At 52.2% G+C, this 18,513-nt stretch overlaps 1 protein-coding gene across 18 annotated transcripts in view, besides 3 other annotated features; it reads right to left on the bottom strand.

The window, feature by feature from the left end:
• Nucleotides 1-17,034, bottom strand: part of CARD14 (caspase recruitment domain family member 14) — a 39,302-nt gene extending 22,268 nt beyond the window's left edge. For 4 of the 18 annotated variants that reach the window (XM_047436720.1, XM_047436721.1, XM_047436722.1 and 1 more), the window contains exons 1-5: nt 8,409-8,556; nt 7,763-7,960; nt 5,415-5,645; nt 4,274-4,411; nt 2,826-3,151 (exon numbers count right to left, since the gene is read on the bottom strand). In XM_047436720.1, the coding sequence (XP_047292676.1) occupies nt 2,826-3,151; nt 4,274-4,411; nt 5,415-5,625 (675 nt within the window). In that variant the 5' untranslated portion in view covers nt 5,626-5,645; nt 7,763-7,960; nt 8,409-8,556. Of the gene's footprint in view, nt 1-2,825; nt 3,152-4,273; nt 4,412-5,414; nt 5,646-7,762; nt 7,970-8,408; nt 8,557-13,835; nt 14,159-16,927 lie in introns of those variants that run through there. The other 14 variants (NM_024110.4, XM_047436718.1, NM_001257970.1 and 11 more) reach the window with 11 other exon arrangements.
• Nucleotides 7,760-8,959: an enhancer, noted in NCBI's record as "BRD4-independent group 4 enhancer chr17:78151904-78153103 (GRCh37/hg19 assembly coordinates)". NCBI's record gives its function as "activates an origin of replication core promoter dependent on BRD2, P300/CBP, MED14 and CDK7 cofactors, and independent of BRD4, by STARR-seq in HCT116 cells {active_cell/tissue: HCT116}" and the evidence as "EXISTENCE:reporter gene assay evidence [ECO:0000049][PMID:35650434]".
• Nucleotides 7,760-9,133: a biological region, named in NCBI's record as "BRD4-independent group 4 enhancer GRCh37_chr17:78151904-78153103".
• Nucleotides 8,633-9,133: an enhancer, noted in NCBI's record as "H3K4me1 hESC enhancer chr17:78151730-78152230 (GRCh37/hg19 assembly coordinates)". NCBI's record gives its function as "activates a minimal SCP1, AML or CMV promoter by ChIP-STARR-seq in naive H9 embryonic stem cells {active_cell/tissue: H9 hESC(naive)}" and the evidence as "EXISTENCE:reporter gene assay evidence [ECO:0000049][PMID:30033119]".

The raw sequence follows: 18,513 nt of genomic DNA, 5'->3' as shown, positions 1-18,513 counted from the left end.
TTCTGAAGTATGCACGTGAACTATATGTATACTTCCATGCATATGAGTATGTGTGTGTACACAGACAAGTATGTGTGTGCATATGTGTATGTATATGTCCATACATGTGTGTGTGTTTCCTAGCTCTGTCCCCTGAAAGGGCTGAGAAGCAAAGACACCCTAGTAGTGATGGACACACCTACGCCCACATCTTGTTCTCTAAAAGGAGGCAGGAGGCCGGGCGTGGTGGCTCATGCCTGTAATCCCAGCACTTTGGGAGACCGAGGTGGGCGGATCACCTGAGGTCAGGAGTTTGAGACCAGCCTGGCCAACATGGCAAAACCCCGTCTCTACTAAAAATACGAAAAATTAGCCAGGTGTGGTGGTGCGCGCCTATAATCCCAGCTGCTCGGGAGGCTGAGGCAGGAGAATTGCTTGAACCCGGGAGATGGAGATTGCAGTGGGCTGAGATGGCGCCACTGCACTCCAGCTTGGGAAGCGAGTGAGACTCTGTCTCAAAAAAACAAACCAAAAAATAAAAATAAAAAAAGGAAGTGGGGCCCTCAGAGAATGGGCTGAGCCTGGATTTGGGGTAGGCCGGGTACAAGATGACCCTGGAATATCTTGTGAGGCCAGAAAAGCAGTTGGTTCTCCAAAAACAAGGGACCCGTTTTAGGACACGGAGCTGGTTGAAGGGTTCCATTGGTCACATCTGGGTCCATTTGAGACCAAAATCATTAAGGACAGTGAGAGGTCAGACCCCTGCAGAGTAGGAACCCATGAACTGCGCCAAGAACAGAGTCAGCCACGGGAGAAGGGAAGGCAGAGGCCGTGGGCAGCAGCAAAGTGGGCTGGCCTGGTCCAAAGTCAGCCAAGGGAGAAGGGAAGGCAGAGGCCGTGGGCAGCAGCAAGGTGGAGCACTGGCACGGTCGTCATTCACAGCTCCCAGGGTAGGGGCCAGCTCCCGCCAGAGTCACCACAGCTACATCCTGGGAAATGTCCACCAGGAGCAGGGTGCTTGCTGGTCTCAGCGCCCCACACCCGAGATATTTATCAGTTGCAGGGAAGAAAAGAAAGAGCCATTCTGCAGTAGAGCAATTGGCCTGCACCTTGACAAATGGTGGACGGTGTGACGTCCCCTGTGAGGGGCGACAGGACCTCGAGAGCCCTCGAGGAGATGCCCTGAGTCAGGCCAGCACCCCCTGTGCAGGGTCCCGGCCAAAGAACATAATTTCTGTATACATGTGGGAAACACAAGACAAACCCCAAATGAGAGGTCGTCTATCATCAAAGGGAAGGGGTGGGGGCTTTAAAGAGGGCCACCTCATAATAGACAAAGAAAGGCTGTGGGCTGTTCCCAAATGAAGGTGGCTAAAGAGAGGAACAGCAGAACACAGGGCCCGACCCTGGGCTGGGGGAAAGGCTGTGAAGGAGTCACTGGGACAGATGAGAAAACCAGAACACAGGCGGATTGGATAAAAACAGGGCGTCCATACCAAAAAGACTGAAGTTGAGAACTGCACTGTGGCTATATAGGGGCAGGTGCTGATTTTCAGGAAGTAGACATAAAGGGCCACGAGAGAGTAAAAGTACAAATGATAAAGCAAGGGTAGGTGGGTATTATTTGTACTATTTTTATTTGTGTGATTTAAAAATATATATTTGGAATTATTTCTAAATAAGAAGTAAAAAATTAAAAACAAACAACAAATGTCATGATTAAAGGCAAAGCGCTGGCCAGCGCAGGGGCTCACACCTGTAATCCCAGCACTTTGGAGGCCGAGGTGGGAGGATCGCTTGAGCCCAAGAGTCCGAGACCAGCCTGGGCAACATAATGAGAACCCCCCATTTCAAAAAAAATTTTTTTTTAATTAGCTGGGTATGGTGGTACAATCTGTAGTCCCAGCTACTCGGGAGGCTGGGGATCACTTGAGCTCAGGAGTTTAAGGCTGTAGTGAGCTAGGATTGTACCACTGCACTCCAGCCTTGGTGACAGAGCGAGATAGTGCCTCTAAAAAATTAAAAATAATAGTAATAATAATAAAGGTAAAAAGCAAATGCCAAAATGACAAGGAGTGCACATCCTCAGTATTTTGAGAAGCCTTACCAATCAGTCAGATCATCCTCCCCAAAGAAAAGTGAGTGAAACACACTGAGTTTCAGAGGCCTCACTTGAGAACCCTCCTGCCCTCCCCGCCTGAGTCCAGGACCAGCTGAGAAGGACAAAGGAGGACGACAGAGACCAACTATCCCGCCTGAGTCCAGGACCAGCTGAGAAGGACAAAGGAGGACGACAGAGACCAACTATCCCGCCTGAGTCCAGGACCAGCTGAGAAGGACAAAGGAGGACGACAGAGACCAACTATCCCGCCTGAGTCCAGGACCAGCTGAGAAGGACAAAGGAGGACGACAGAGACCAACTATCCCGCCTGAGTCCAGGACCAGCTGAGAAGGACAAAGGAGGATGACAGAGGCCGACTATCCCATGTCACTGCCGCAGCTGGGCAGTGGGACGTAGGCGGCCCTACAAATATGCAGCCCAGAGTGTGTCCAGACCTGCCCAGGCGTCAGCAGGATGGGCAGTTCACAGACAAGCCAGCCAGGCCACGGGCAGCTACTGGACAAGGCACACCTCGTCGCCATGCAGGCTACACAGAGGGGCCTGGGTGGCCTCCTGGGGAGGGGAAGGATCAGCTTCCCAGAGGGGTCTCAGCCAAGGCTCTCGGGGCAGGGAAGTGTTAGACAAGGAAGAGGGGAAAGGAGTTCCAGGGAGATGGACCAGCTAGTACAAAGGCCTGGGGGCAGACGACAGCAGGGTCGCGCCGGGGTGCAGGGTGTCCCCCTACCTCCTCCTGCAGGCTGCGGCAGCGTGAGGCGGCCAGCTCCTTCTCCTGCAGCGCATTGCTATAGTGCAGCGAGAGGCTGAGCATCTCGTCCTTCAGCCTCAGCACCTCATGGAAGTGTGCGCTAACCTCACGCTTCATGCGGCTGTGGTCAGCCTCCAGCTGGTGCAGGCCCTCGGCACGGGTCTCGGCCAGGCCCAGGTGCTCCTGCAGCTGCTGGCACCGCCGCAGCAGCACCTCCTTCTGCCCCTTTTCCTGGTTCAGCTCCTCCTGCAGGCTGCCGATGGCCCCAGCCAGGCACTCGGTCAGCTTGGATGTCTCCATGAGACCTGTGGGCAGATGGGCAGGTGAGCAAGTGAGCAGGTAGGGAGGTAATAGGTGGGCAGGTGGGTAGGTGAGCAGGTGAGCAGGTGGGCAGGTGAGCATGTGGGCAGGTGAGCATGTGGGCGGGTGAGCATGTGGGCGGGTGAGCATGTGGGCAGCTGAGCATGTGGGCGGGTGGGCATGTGGGCAGGTGTGCAGGTGCACAGATGGGCCGGTGGGCCGAGGCATGACTCCCATGCCCCCACAGCCTTGCCCAGACTCCCCAGCAGGCCCCCAGCTTTAACCTGCTGGTCTCCTTAAAAGCTCCTGGACCTCAAGCAGACTTGGTCTTTTGGTTGAATAAACAGCGTGACTCCCGATTTTGGCACGAGGGTTACCCACTCTGACCTTCCCCGTGAGACCCCACTGTTCAGACTTAATGACCCTCCTCGGTAGCTGAAATGCACTCAGTGCTAACTCATTTTAACGTTATCCTGAGAAAAAGATAAAAAAAGAATACGAATCCGCGTACTAGAACTCTAAAGAACATAAACACACACCGTGCTGGAACACAGGGAAAATGGTCTATTCTCCACTGTTTTGGGTCGTGTGAGTCCTGCTCCTGCTCCTTTCAATACCTAAATCTTTCAACAGCTCCTCCAGGGAAGCCTAGAATTACTCCCTGAAGGAAAATGGTGAGCAGTGCACAGAAGGCTCCGCGGCCCTGCCAAGGCCCTGTACCCTCTGGCCGGGGCCGCTCTGTCGCCTCCTAAGAGCTGAGGCTGGGCCGTTCTGGCCCCTCCAGCAAAGCCGCAAGGTTAAAGGCGGACTCCAGGAGACACTCCCTTGCCCTTTGCTTGTGTCTCTCCAAGCAGATTCTCCCCACCCTACCGCTCAGGGGTCTCCTTTTGGCACTGGGTAACTAAGGACCGACCCTTCAGAGTCAAGGCCCAGGGGCTCCTTATCCTATCCAACCCCAATACAGTGAGGGGGTTCCTCACCCTCAGAGTGCTGGGGCTGGGACAGGAACTGCAGCCTGGAGGGAAGGGGGAGTAGGGCAAATCGGCAAGTAAGCGGGGCACCTGGGGTTACCAGGAGCCTGAGGTTCCTAGAAGTGCCTGCCAAACCGTCAAAGTCGGAGCTCTCACCGCTAAAGTTACTGAAGTCAACATCAGGCTGCAGCCCGGTGACCAGGGTGTAGACGTCAGGGTTGTGGAACTTCAGGCTCTCCAGGAAGGCGATGGCCCCGTTCTTCCCTCGAGTCTTCAGCAAATCCAGCAAGTGCCCTTGGGAGGCAGAACCGTCTGTCTGGGCAGAACCCAGCTACCAAGGGGGCTGGGCTCCCTGGCTGGCTTCCCCACGGGGGAGAGGCCTGGGGCTGGGAAACCCCCCGCACATGTAAGAATCGGGAGGTGAAAGCGGTTTTCTGGGTTCTGCTGGGTGGGACGCGCCCTCACTGCTCTCACAGGCTCCCTTTACCCCCATGACCTCAGTCAGACTCGAGAAGGGCAAAGCTGGCATGTATCGAGCAACTACTGCAACCCCAGTGCTCTGGCGAGTGCGGGGGGACCGGGACGGGGTGAGGAGGTGGGTCCCTGCTTGCAAGCACCTCCCTGGCAAGCTGGTGGGTGATGCAGACGCAGGGTCCCACCACGGTGCTGTCAGCTTTGGAGCTGCGCACAGAAAGCAGAGTGGCACCCCGGGGCTGCGGGTGACAGGTCCCAGAGAGCCTCGGGGCCTTCCACGCCCAGGGCCCAGAGCCCATCTCTCTCAGCCAGAATGACCAGCGTGCATCAATCTCTCCTGTGTTTGGGGTTCGTACGCCAACATGCATGAACATTATCATGTTGACAGCTACCACCTACTGCCTGTTTTCTATGGCCCCAGCTTTGCAGTGAGTGTTTTATAAACAGTAACTCATTTGCTTCTCCTAACAACCGTATACAGTAAAGCCATTACCATCCCCATTTTTTAATGAATAAACACTAGTCAGACCATCAGAATGGACTCCAAAGACAGCTGTAGTGGTGTGAATGGTGGTTCCCCTTCAAAGACACATCCACCTGGAACCTGTCCAGATGACCTTTTTTGGGAAAAGGGCCTTTGCAGATATAAGTTAATGATTTCAAGATCAGATCATCCTGGTTATCCAGGTGGGCCCTAAAGGCAACAGCAAGTGTTTTTATAAGAGACAGGACGAGAAGAGACCCCCTGAAGACAGAGGCAGACAGTGGAGCCATGTGGGCCACGGGAAGCTGGAAGAGGTGGGGAAGAGGGAGCTGCGCTCACCGGCCCGCATGGCGCTGTTGGTGAGCCGGGGGCTGTGCAGCACCTCCTCCTCGTCCAGCTGGCACAGCACCTTGGCCTGGCGCAGGTAGGGGGTGAGGCGGCTGGGGCAGATGCAGCGTACGATCCTGTGGCGGTGGCTCTCCATCATCTCCCACAGTGTCTCCTCGTCCAGTGCCGTGAGTGCGGAGTCCCTGCGGCACAGTTCCCCCATGGCTGGGCGCTGGGAGGACCCTAGGAGGGGTGGCCATGGGGGTGGAGTTGTCAGGTAAGCAGGACCCCAGGATAGCCAGGGTGACACCGTTTTAAAATCAACTCCATCGTAAAATTAGCAAGGCGCACTCTTTGCCAGTCAGAACCCACAGTCTTGAGATGTTTACGGCAGAGGAAGCATTCCAGTGGCCATTTGCCATTCTGGTTTCTCCCTCTGTGTAAGGTTGAGTGCCACGGCCCCACCTGCTCTACCCCAATCCTAAGCAATAAAGTCACTAAATCACACTTTGTTGTGTCAGTTACAGCTTTTTCTAAAAAATTAAAGTAAATAAATACTTTTTTTTTTTTTTAGAAATTCATCTAAAATAATGGTAGTAGGCTAGGCGTATTGGCTCACGCCTATAATCCCAGCACTTTGAGAGGCGAAGGGGGAAGGATTGCTCAAGCCTAAGAGTTCGAGACCAGCCTGGCAAATATGGTGAAACCCTGTCTCTACTAAAAATACAAAAATTAGTCAGGCATGGTGGTATGCACCTGCAATCCCAGCTACTTAGGAGGCTGAGGCAGGAGGATCACTTGAGCCTGGGATACAGAGGTTGTGGTGAGCTGAGATTGTGCCACTGCACTCCAGCCTGGGTGACAGAGGGAGACCCTGTCCCGGTAAACAAACACACAAACAAACAAACAAACAAACAAATAACAGTAGGGGTGCTGCACTTTGGAAATGCTGCTTTATAAGTTCTTTATGAAAGGTAATTTTCATTAGAAGCAAGACTGTCGGCTTCTCTAGAGCCGAGATCGTGCCACTGCACTCCAGCCTGGGCAACAGAGCAAGACTCTGTCTAAAAAAACAAAAAAAAAAGTTCCCATTGTTTTCAACTACGCAGCAGGTGGTCCCTTGTTTGCAGCGGCCCAGGACAGTGACACAGAGGACTGCGCAGAGGACTCCACATGAGGGAAATGTGCTGGGGAGTGACACTGGGCACAAGTGCCTCGCAGAAGACACTTCAGGGTAGTAACGGCCAGCACGGCTCGGCTGCGGGGGGTGTGGGCTTACAAAGATGGCGAGGCAGACAGAGGGTGGACAGGTCCCCGAAAGGGCTGAGCTGCAGCTGATCTGGGGCCACCACCAGGGCTGATGTCCCAAGCCCAGGTCTGTCTGGACAGAATACACGAAGCAGGTCGCCGTTACAGCCCGGAACACCTGCTCTTCAGGGGACATGCTGGCTAGTGCAGACTCTAAGAGCTGTTGGAGGTCCTCAGCCGTCACCTGCCCAGCCTCCCATCCCAGCGAGAGATGAGCTGTGTACCCCACTGTGCCCCTGCCTGAGCCCCTCTCTGGCATCAACATGAGGCCATTAGCCCATTAATCCATCTAAATAATTTTAAAATGTTTTAAAACTGTGCACTGTTTTCAGCATATTAAAAAATCCTGCAAATAACAAATATCCACATATCTACCATGCGGATTCAACCATCTTGACATTCTGCACTTCAGGTTTCTTTTTAAGGAAATGCGAGGCAGATGGCGCCTTTTTGTTCTCTTCAGTCCCTCTTCCCTCCCTCTCTGGCCAGACATTCTAAAATCATTTAAAAATGATTTTTTTTGAGGTAGGGTCTCACTCTGTTGCCCAGGCTGGAACGCAGTAGCGTGATCGTGGCTCACTGCAGCCTTGAGCTCCCAGACCCAAGCAATCCTCCCACCTCAGCCTCTCAAGTAGCTGAGACCGCAGGCATGCGCCACCATGCCTGGCTTCTTTTTTAATTTTTGTAGAGATGGAATCTCCGTATGTTGCTCAGGCTGGTCTCGAACTTCTGGGCTCAGGTGATCTGTCTACCTCAGCCTCTGAAAGTGCTGGGATTACAGTCCAGCCTAAAAATGATATTTTAAAAATCATTTCCTACAAATGGAAGTGTGTATAAACAGTACATAGCATCTTTGCATGATACTTCGTGCAGACAGCAGCTTTACATCAACAGTGCCTTCAGTGTTAGCTGGAACTTCACAGAAACTATCGTTCTGTGCAAGGCTGTACGGCTTCTGAGGTTTCTCATACTGATACATGCAGCTTGATACATGCATGGTCCTTTAAACTGTGCACTGGATTCAATGATATGAATAACCACAGTGGACTTACGCTCCTGTGGGAGGATATCAGGTTGTGCCTAATTTTTCTCCACTGCTCACAGAGCTGCAGCCACCGCCTTTGTTAATCTCCTGGGCACAGATGGGAGCGATTCCTTACAGACCCATGAATTCCTGTGACTTGATTCTTTTCATTTGGAAGGAGAGGCTGGACCACTGGAGACAGATGCCTCTTGCAGGGATCTGTATGCTAAAAATACTTGAAAATCAGAGCAAATCAACACCTGTCATCTGAAAAATGGAAAATGGGCCGGGGCCAGTGGCTCATGCCTGTAATCCCAGCACTTTGGGAGGCCAAGGCGGGCAGATCACCTGAGGTCAGGAGTTTGAGACTAGCCTGACCAACATGGTGGAAACCCGTCTCTATTGAAAATACAAAAATTAGCCAGTCATGGTGACGGGTGCCTGTAGTCCCAGCTACTTGAGAAGCTGAGGCAGGACAATCACTTGAACCTGGGAGGCAGAGGTTGCAGTAAGCTGAGATTGCATCATTGCACTCCAGCCTGGGTGACAGAGTGAGACTCCATCTCAAAAATTAAAAGATAAAAATAAAACATGGAAAATGATCGTTGGAGAGTCGTGTGTGCAGGAGCAGCGCCAGAAGCCGTCCCAGGAGCCGGGTCTCCGGAAGTACTCACCAAGGTTCTCAGGTTTGCTTTTGCAGGAGCTCCGTGCAGCAGGGTGGGGTCCACAGTCCCCGCAGTGTCTCCAAAGCCCAGTGTGGTGCCAGCTGCCTCCTTTCTCTGCGGGCTGCTGGGTGGGACGGAGCTGGGCAGAAGGAAGAGCCTGAAGTCAAAGCAGCACCAGGTGAATTGACCGTGATTTCAAAGCCATGTGACCTGTTCCAAAACTCAAGGTTCGGTCACAACCACCGCAAGCGGCGGGGAAAAGACGTCAGACTCGGATCCGGGAAATAACTCGACGGACCTTTGACCCCTGTGGTTTTCCCAGTAACTATTGAAGCTTCCTTAGCACTTGGAAGCAGACTTCTAGAATGGACCTGGGCTTTGAACCCTAGACTACCAAGGAGAGTTGACAGGCGCAGTAGTTATCCAAAGCACCCACAGGCCTGTCTGCGGCTCCCCACAGGGCCAGGCCACTCATACCCTTCTGCTGAGTCTCCTTGCCCGGAAGGAAGAACAGCTGGAGAGGACAGTGACGGGCGCAGAGGCCGGGGTGGGCAGGTGAGGAGGAGAGGAGAACCAATCGAGGGCAGCTCTGCCTCATTCCTTCTGATCTCAGTCCTGTTTCTCACTGGAACAGGTGATTGAGGCTTGCGAGTCAGGGTGTCACTGATTGTGGCCCCCCGCAAAAGAATGCTGAAGTCTTGACCCCCAGTACCTGTAAGTAGGACCTCATTTGGGAATAAGTCTCTGCCAACGTAATCAAGTTGAGGTCATTAGGGTGGGCCCTAGTCCAGGGATGGGTGCCCTTATAACAAGAGGAGAAGGGCTGGGTGTGGTGGCTCATGCCTGTAATCCCACACTTTGAAAGGCCAAGGCGGGCAGATTGCTTGAGCTCAGGAGTTTGAGACCAGCCTGGGCAACACAGTGAGACCTTGTCTCTGCTAAAATCTGCTAAAAAAAAATTTTTTTTTTTTGAGACAGAGTCTTGCTCGTCTCCCAGGCTGCAGTGCAATGGCACAATCTTGGCTCACTGCAACCTTTGTCTCCCGGGTTCAAGCAATTCTCCTGCCTCAGCCTTCTGAGTATCTGGGATCACAGGTGCATGCCACCATGCCCAGCTAATTCTTTATTTTTAGTAGAGACAAGGTTTCACCATGTTGGCCAGGCTGGTCTCGATCTCCTGACCTCAAGTGATCCGCCTGCCTCGGCCTCCCAAAGTGCTGGGATTACAGGCATGAACCACTGCACCTGGCCTAAAAAAATTTTTTTTTTAATTAGCCAGGTGTTGTGGTGCACACCTGTAGTCGCAGCTACTTAGGAGGCTGAGGTGGGAGGATCGCTTGAGCCTGGGAGGTGTAGGTTGCAGAGCTGAGGTAGTGCCACTCCACTCCAGCCTGGACGACAGAGCAAGACCCTGTCTTAAAAAAAAAAGAAAGAAGAAGAAGAAGAGGAGGAGAAGGGCCCTAGGCCTAGACACCCCATGATCACCCCATGTTGGCAGAGGCCGAGACTGGAGTGACACGCCAAGGGTCGGTGGCAACACTAGAAACTCAAGAGAAGGCATGAAGCAGACCCTCCCTGGAGCCTTCATGGGGGTGCGGCCCTGCTCACCCCTGGAGTGTGGACTTCTGGCCTCCAGAACCATGAGCAAATACATTTCTGTTGTTTTAAGCCACCCAGTTTGTGGTAATTTATGACGGCAGCCAGAGGGAGCGTGCACAGGGGCAAAGGCGATGTGGAAATTGTCCGTCCATCTCCAGGGATGCGCTGCCAATGGGCACACTCCCACAGAAGGCTCCTGAGCTCCTGGGCCTCCACCCAGTAGAAGCCTGCGTCGCTAGAGTCTGACTCCAAGTCAGAATGATCCTCTGCCCCACTTCAGGACCAGCTATATCGTCTGTGGAGCTCAGGGCAAAATGAAAGGATGGTGCGTTTGTTTTAAAAACGTATTCAGAATTTCAAGGCAGCAATAGCGAGCAATAAAGTCAGCCCAGGGCCCCCACTCCAGCCCTGCCCTGCATCACCGAGGGGTCTTCAGGCCCCCTGTCTATCAGGATGTCAGGATGGTAGCTAAAGGTAGGGGATGTTTCCTTTACAGATGATGGAATGTCCTAAAGTTAACTGTGGCGGCGATTGCACACATCTGTGAATACACTAGAAGCATCTTAAACGGGTGAATTGTGTGCCGTATGGGTTATAGCTCTTCCTTTTTTTTTTTTTTTTTTTTTGAGACAAGGTCTTGCTCTGTTGCTCAGGCTGGAGTGCAATGGTGCAATCTCAGCTCACGGCAACATCCGTCTTCTGGGCTTAAGTGATCCTCTACCTTAGCCTCCGGAGTATCTGGGAATACAGATATGTGCCCCCATGCCAGGCTCATTTTTTTTGTTGTTGTTGTTTTTTGTAAAGAAGGGGGTCTCACTATGTTGCCTGGGCTGGTCTCAAACTCCTAGGCTCAAGTGATCCTCCCCCCTCAGCCTCCGAAAGTGCTAGGATTATAGGTGTGAGCCACTGTGTTTGGCCGTGAGTTATATTTCAACAAAGTTGTTTAAAAAAAAAAAAAAAGATCCAGGCTTGGTGCAGTGGCTCATGCCTGTAATTTGGAAGGCAGAGGCAGGAGGATCGCTTGAGCCCAGGAGTTCAAGACTAGCCTAGCAACATAGCACGATCCCGTTTTTAAAAAAAAAAAAAAAAAAAAAAAAAAAAAAAAAAAAAAAACGATCCGAGAGCAGCTGGCAATCCCACCCTGCCTCCTGCTTCCCTCTCTCATCCCTGCCAGGAAGCAGGAGGAGGGTGGGCTGAGGAGGTCCCTGCAGTGCCCGGTTCTGCCCCTGCCACCCCAGGGCCAGGGCTGGGGGTCCACAGTGCGTGGGACACCGGCACCCACTTTCCTTTCTCTTCGTTTTCAGCCTAGGCTGGGCCCCCATCCCAGCCAGGCCCTGCCTGTTCAGCGTCCCCACCACAAGCGGGGTTCCTCTCTTGCCAGCTCCTGTTCTCTGCCTGGAGGTGTCGGGCAGGAGCACGTGCTCTGGGCGTTTCCCTGCCAGCCTCCTCCCTTCCATCCCCTTGGCTTCCTCATTCCAGAATCCCTGTTCACCTCAGCTGACCCTGTGACCCCCTAGGAATGTCTCTGGCTCCTGCAGAGGCGTCTGGGCTTCCCCTCACGCCTTCTTAGAGGACAACCAGTGGGCGCAGTCGCTCTGTCACGTCAAAGTCTCCAGATCAAACCCAACAAAGGATCAGGGCAGCCTCCTGTACCTCCCTCCCCAGCTCCTGGTGAAATGAACCAAATGTTGCGTTTTAAAAAGTTAAAAAAATAAATAAGTGAATAAAGCAGCAACCACAAAATGAGGAAAGGAAAACAACTTTTCTGCCACAAACTGAAAAATAGCAGGCCGGGCATGGTGGCTCACACCTGCAATCCCAGAACTTTGGGAGGCTGAGGCAGGCAGATCGCTTGAGCCCAGGAGTTCAAGACCAGCCTGGGTGACATGGCGAAACCCTGTCTCTACAAAAAATACAAAAATTAGCCGGGCATGGTAGCGTGAGCCTGTGGTCCCCAAGCTACTTGGGAGGCTGAGGTGGAAGGATCACTTGAGCCCGGGAGGCAGAGGTTGCAGTGAAATGAGATTGCATCACTGCACTCCAGCCTGGATGACAGACTGAGACCCTGTCTTAAAAAAAAAAAAGAAAGAAAGAAAAAAGAAAAATGGCAGACAAGCCCTGAAACCAAAGGAGTGCTGCCAAGGGGCACTGGGGGCACAGGTGCCAGCGCAACCCTTAGGGACAGACTGCGGGAAGAGAGGGCTTCAGCATCCCTCTACTGTTTGGGCAGCTGAAGAGAAGTCTAGGGAAGTCAGAGAAAACGCCCCAGAGCTGCCTCCAGCTTCCCTGGGAGTCCTCAGCAGGAGTGGGGAGGGGGCTGTACTGAGCCAGGAGAGAACCCAGGCCCGGCTGTCCTTCTCAGCGCAGGGCAACCACTGGATTTCTTTAATCACACATCCAGGACTAAACTACGGTGGGAATAGAGTCTTCCAGCCAAATAAGAAGATTCTTTACCCTAAGAAATAATGCAAGCAGTAGAAATCGGGGTAGGGGGTAGGGGAAGGAAGGCATCACTTTATCTTCCATGACCCTGTGCTATCTAAAATAAAGGAAGTCCAGGCGACGTGGCTCACGCCTGTAATCCCAGCACTTTGGGAGGCAGAGACGGGCAGGTCGCCTGAGGTCAGGAGTTCCAGACCAGTCTGGCCAACATGGCAAAACCCTGTCTCTACTAAAAATACAAATATTAGCTGGGTGTGGTGGTACATGCCTGTAATCCCAACTACTTGGGAGGCTGAGGCAGGAGAATCGCTTAAACCCGGGAGGCAGAGGCTGCAGTGAGCTGAGATTACGCCACTGCACTCCAGCCAGGGAGACAGACCGAGACTCCATCTCAAATAAATTAATAAAATAAAACAAAACGCTGATTTTATTTTATTGTATTTTCCGTTTTGTGGAGAATGGGGTCTTGCTATGTTGGCCAGGCTCTCAAACTCCTGGGCTCAAGCACTCCTCCCGCCTCTGCCTCCCTAAGTGCAATGATTACAGGTCTGAGCCACCAAACCCAGCACTGTTGATTTTACATAATGTCACTAATTTATCAAGGTTTTTGTAATCTCTTATCTGAATCTTGGGGATTTTTTAGGAACTAATAGTTCTTGTCATTGTGAAACTGTTCTACTACATTTGGCATTCCATTATTATTTTTAACAATTAAAAAATATTTTTTGGCTGGGCGCGATGGTTCACGCCTGTAATCCCAGCACTTTGGGAGGCCGAGGTGGGCAGATCATAAGGTCAGGAGTTCGAGACCAGTCTGGCCAACATAGTGAAACCCCATCTGTACTAAAATACAAAAAATTAGGCAGGTGTGGTGGTGTGTGCCTGTAATCCCAGCTACTTGGGAAGCTGAGGCAGGAGAATCACTTGAACCTGGGAGGCAGAGGTTGCAGTGAGCCGAGATTGTGCCATTGCACTCCAGCCAGGGTGACAGTGCGAGACTCCATCTAAAAAAAAAAAAATGCCGAATCTGGATGCACTGCCTATGAGTTAGCCCAGCTCCTCAAGGAGCAGTACATAAAAAATAAAAATAATAAAAAAAAACTTTTGCCAGCAACATCTGAGCTGAACTAAAATTTAAGTAAAATTAAAAGTTTACATTTCAATCATGTAGAATATGATACCATTTTTATAAAATGGTGTTAGTTTATCTCTGGGAGTCCCTCAATCTATGTGCCCATCCATCCATTCATCCAATCTGCCGATCAGTCTGTCCTGTCATTCCGCGCGCGCGCGCGCGCGTGTGTGTGTGTGTGTGTGTGTGTGTGCATGAGAGAGAAAGAGAGGGGGAGAGAAATGGAGAGGCAGAGAGCAGAGGGATTCTGGAACACTCCTCACCAATGCTAATGCTTGCTGTTCATGGTGGTAGATTGTAAAGAAATCTGTTTAGGCCTGGTGCGGTGGCTCACGCCTGCAATCCAGCACTTTCAGAGGCTGAGGCAGGCAGATCACTTGAGGTCAGAGTTCGAGACCAGCCTGCCAACATGGTGAAACCCCATTTCTACTAGAAATAGAAAAATTAGCCGGCTGTGGTGGTGCTCGCCTGTAGTCCCAGCTACTCAGGAGGGTGAGGCAGGAGAATCGCTTGAACCTGGGAAGTGGAGGTTGCAGAGAGCTGAGATGGTGCCACTGCATTCCAGCCTAGGAGCCAGAGTGAAACTCTACCTCAAAAAAAAAAAAAAAAAAAAAAAAAAGAATGTTTAGAATAAGCAAGTATGGGTTCAATAAAAACCATAGTCATTATTTTAGAAAACAATAAAATTAATCCAATTGATGAAACAGAGAAGGAGATGGGCCTCATCCTAGAAGTGTTCGCCACAGAACACTGGGGTCCTAGGTTGTCTGGGACAGTCCTTTTATGACTCTTGTCCTGGAGTAATGATCAACGGTGCCACCTTTCTCTCTCAATACAGACTCGGTTTAGGGGGCATCATGGCAAGGGGAGGCGAAGGCACGCCGACGCCGAGCTCCTCCAGCTACAGCGGGGACACCAGCAGAAACGTCTCCTCTCCTGCTCCCCTCAGCCCCGATGAAAGCGGCACATGGAGAGGGTGGGAGCCCAGGGGATGACAGATACTGGCTGAAGTGGGGAAAGTTCTAGAAGAAGGAAAGCGGGAGGAAGTCTTGGCTGGTCTAGGATGCATCAGTCAGGAAGACAACTGTTTCTTCCCCTCAGGGCAGGATTTCTCAGCTTTCTACTTAGTGAAGGAGAGTGCAGCATCTTTATAAAATCCCAGTATTTGCCCCCAAATCTCTTACGAAACATCTACTTCAATAGGCATTCGGCCTGAGCCTAGAGGTTCCAAGGCAGATGGAAAATACAGGTGTCCCTAAACAGTCGCCTACAAGGCCTTTCTTTGGGGCCAATGGCCTTGTGATTAAGTTGGTGCCAAAGAGCCAATGACTGAAAAACTAGGGCTTACCGCAGTATAATGTTTGTTTCTAGCAAATGACACTCTGGCACGCTCTCCAGTATCTTACTATATCGAGTTGCCAAGGGGCCACATCTCCAGCTTGCAGCTGAAACCCTGGGAGTTCTGGACAGCCAGGTCTCTGCGGATATCCTGAGGACCAGGACTGGTGGTCAGCCGAGGACTACAGGTTTCTCGGGTGCCTTCCTGGGGCTGGGTCCAGGTGGCAACGACCGGGTCTGGGAGGGTCCTCTAGTTGGATTGTCCCTCTGCCCCTGACTTGCCCGAGCCTCACAAGACTCCTGAGGAGGGTCTGAGGGTGCTGACTGTGCCCTCCCATCAGACTGAACTCAGAAAGCCAGGGCAGCTCAAGCCAAAGCTGCCTCACCAGCAGCTGAAGACAGGGGCTCTGCAGAACTCTCCAGACCCCAGCCAACTGCCCCAGCCAGCTGCCCCTCAGGCTTCTGGAGCCCCCAGAGCCACACTGAACTTCAAGCATCAGTGGGTGGAGCTAAATAGAAGTCACTAGTCCCTTCTGCAGTTGCCATGAAGCAACTTACAGTAGTCTCCAATGGCAGTTAACAATTGCAGGAGTTTCTTTGTAACTTGTCCCAGTGTAAATAAGGGTTAGTCCTAACAGTAAAACAAAACAAAACAAAACAAAAAACCTTAGGGCTGGGCACAGTGGCTCAGGCCTGTAATCCCAGCACTTTGGAGGCCAAGGCAGGAGGATTGCTTGAGCTCAAGAGTTCAAGGCTGCAGTGAGCTATGATTGTGCCACTGCCCTCCAGCCTGGGTGACAGAGCAAGACCCTGGCTCAAAAAAAGGAAAAGAAAGAAAGAGAGAGAGAGAGAAAGAAAGAAAGAAAAGAAGAAAAGAAAGAGAGAGGAAGGAAGGGAAGGAGAGAGAGAAGGAAGGAAGGAAGGAAGGAAGGAAGGAAGGAAGGAAGGGAGGGAGGGAGGGAGGGAGGGAGGGAGGGAGGAAGGGGAGGGGAAGGGGAAGGTGAATGGGAAGGCGCCAGGAGCCGTGGCTCACGCCCGTAATCCCAGCACTTTGGGAGACCAAGATGGGCGGATTACCTGAAGTCAGGAGTTTGAGACCAGCCTAGCCAACGTGACAAAACCCTGTCTCTACTAAAAATAAAAAAATTAACCAGGTGTGGTGGCGTGCACCTATAGTCCCAGCTACTTGGGAGACTGAGGCAGGAGAATCACCTGAACCCAGGAGGCAGAAATTGCAGTGAGCCGAGATTGTGCCACTGCAACTCTAGCCTGGGCGACAGAGGGAGACTTCTGAAAAAGGAGAGAAGAGGGGAGGGGAGGAGAGGGGAGAGGAGGGGAGGGGAGAGGAGGGGAGGGGACGGGAGGGGAGGGGACGGGAGGGGAGGGGAGGGCCCAGAGATCTCTAATTCCAAACTCTGAATCTAACTGTACAGCAATTCTAGAAGAGCCTAAGATCATAAAATCCTGAGCATCTAAGATGTGGGTTCTCCTTATTTGACCCCTCCCAGGTCAACATCCTTCTCCTAACCCAAGTGTCAGTCTCTTCCCTTGCCAGTGAAGTAGGGAAGAAGGCATGTACACATACACACACGCACACGCACACACACACATGTACATACCCCATGGGGGGCAGAGGGTCACAAGCCCAGGAGGAGGGGGCACAGCTCACCTCGGCCCCCCAGTGCCATGACAGGCTGGCTGTGCCTCTGCTACCAACAGCAGCCAGCTGGTCTTGCTCACTTTGTTCTGAACTTAGACACCTTCCTTCTGCTGTCTTTCATCCCACGGCAATAGCGAAGAGATGAGAGTATAAAACAGAGATCCCTTTCATCTAGCATGACCCATGCTGTTTTAAGGCAGAACTCAGCATTCAGAGAATGTTCCAGTGATTGACCCAGCAACACAGACAAGCCGTTTTCTGTTCTCTAGTCCACATACAAGGCAGCTCCTCCACTCCTGATGAGGAAGATGCCGGCCCCTCCCACTCCCCTGGGACCACTCTCGGGCCCCATCAGACCTGTGTCGGCTGAGCCCCTCCGTAGGCTGAGCCCTCCGTAGGCTGACCTGCTCTTCGCCGGATGGACTGCGCGCACTTACCTTCCCCCTCCCAGGGAAGCGAGGACTGAATGTGGCCCAATCTCTGGCTGAACTGAACGGCAGTGGACAAGCAGGTTTGACAGGCACATCCCACAGGAGCAGTGCCTTATATGGGGCTTCTATGAGCCATCGAAGCACCAGTGCAGTCCCACAGCTAGACATTGCCGTAAGAACCACAGGGATGGCTGAGAACAGTCCGTGCATCTGGTCGACCCACAGAAGATGGTGATTGAGGGTGATTGAGGGGAAGGCTTCAGGCTTGGGGGCTGGGAATCCTCTCTCCTTTGTGAACGGTCACCCAGTTCATCATCATTTCTACCCTTGGGAAAATCCTACGAAGATCAGGATAAATTCTAGGGCCTTTCTTGGTTCTCATGATCCATTATTGGAAGTATCTGAATAATTCCAATAGATCCATCTCAAGTTAACATTTCATAACTATTGTTTAGATTTAGATGAAAGTCTTGGTCCTCCACCTTGAGATATGTCTAGAATCCGATCCATTCTCACCACCTGCATTGTGGTGTCCTGATCATGGCCCACCGGGACCTCTGTAATGGCTCCTAACTTCTTCCCACGCCCCCATCACCAGCGCTCAACACAGCAGACAGAGAAGTCCTGCTAGGGCATGAGTCAGCTCCTGTCATTCCCTTCGGTGTACAGGTCCTGGAGTCCTCAGCGTGACCATGAGGCTCTGCTTATCAGGTCCTTGCTGACCTTATCTCTCTTTTACCTGCTCCAGACACACAGCCCAACAGTCTTGACAGTCCAGGCACACTTCTGCCCCAGGGCCTTTGCACCTGCTGTTCCCACTGCCTGGAACACTCTTTCCCATCCCTCCTTCCAGACTCTACTCAAATGCTACTTCCCAGATCATCCTACTTAAGTCCGTAGACCTCCCATCCTGGCCTTCACTCCCCTTCCCTGTTCCATCTTCTCTGTGGGAATACTGCCTTGACCTAACGTGTATTCTAGTTACGTGGCTTCCTGCCAGCCTCCCCACTCCACAGTAACCTACTGAGGACAATAATTCTTGTCTTTCTTGTTCCCTGCTGTGTCCCCACCCCTAGGGCTGTGATATTCCACAAATATTGGTTGAGCGAATGAATAAACATTGGTTAGGGGCTTGGTTCCCAATGATGCAGACACTGAAAGAAGGGAAATTCACAGGTCCATGGCCTGAGAACCTTCAGGATTATCCTGCGGACAATCAAAGATCGGCCTTCAAGGTCATGTAGCTCATGGTGGCTGAGCAGTAGCTCCAACCCAAATCTCCTGGTGATGAGCCGGCTGAAGGCACAGCCAGTTGGGCAGAGCAAGTGAGAACGCAGGCCGAGGCCAGGTGCAGACATGAACTCTCCAACCAGGGTTACAGCCCCACTGGGTGTCAGCTTCCCCTCAGGCAGTTCATTTAAGCCCCTAAGGCTCAGCTCTCTTAGTTTCCTCCAGCAGACCTCATGATAAGCCCTCCCCCACAGTGGGGAAGCTTGCCAGCTCATCACACTG

The sequence above is a fragment of the Homo sapiens genome, chromosome 17 (assembly GCF_000001405.40).
Source record: "Homo sapiens chromosome 17, GRCh38.p14 Primary Assembly".
NCBI classification, from domain to species: Eukaryota; Metazoa; Chordata; class Mammalia; order Primates; family Hominidae; genus Homo; species Homo sapiens.
This window is presented reverse-complemented; position numbering and strand designations above follow the sequence as displayed.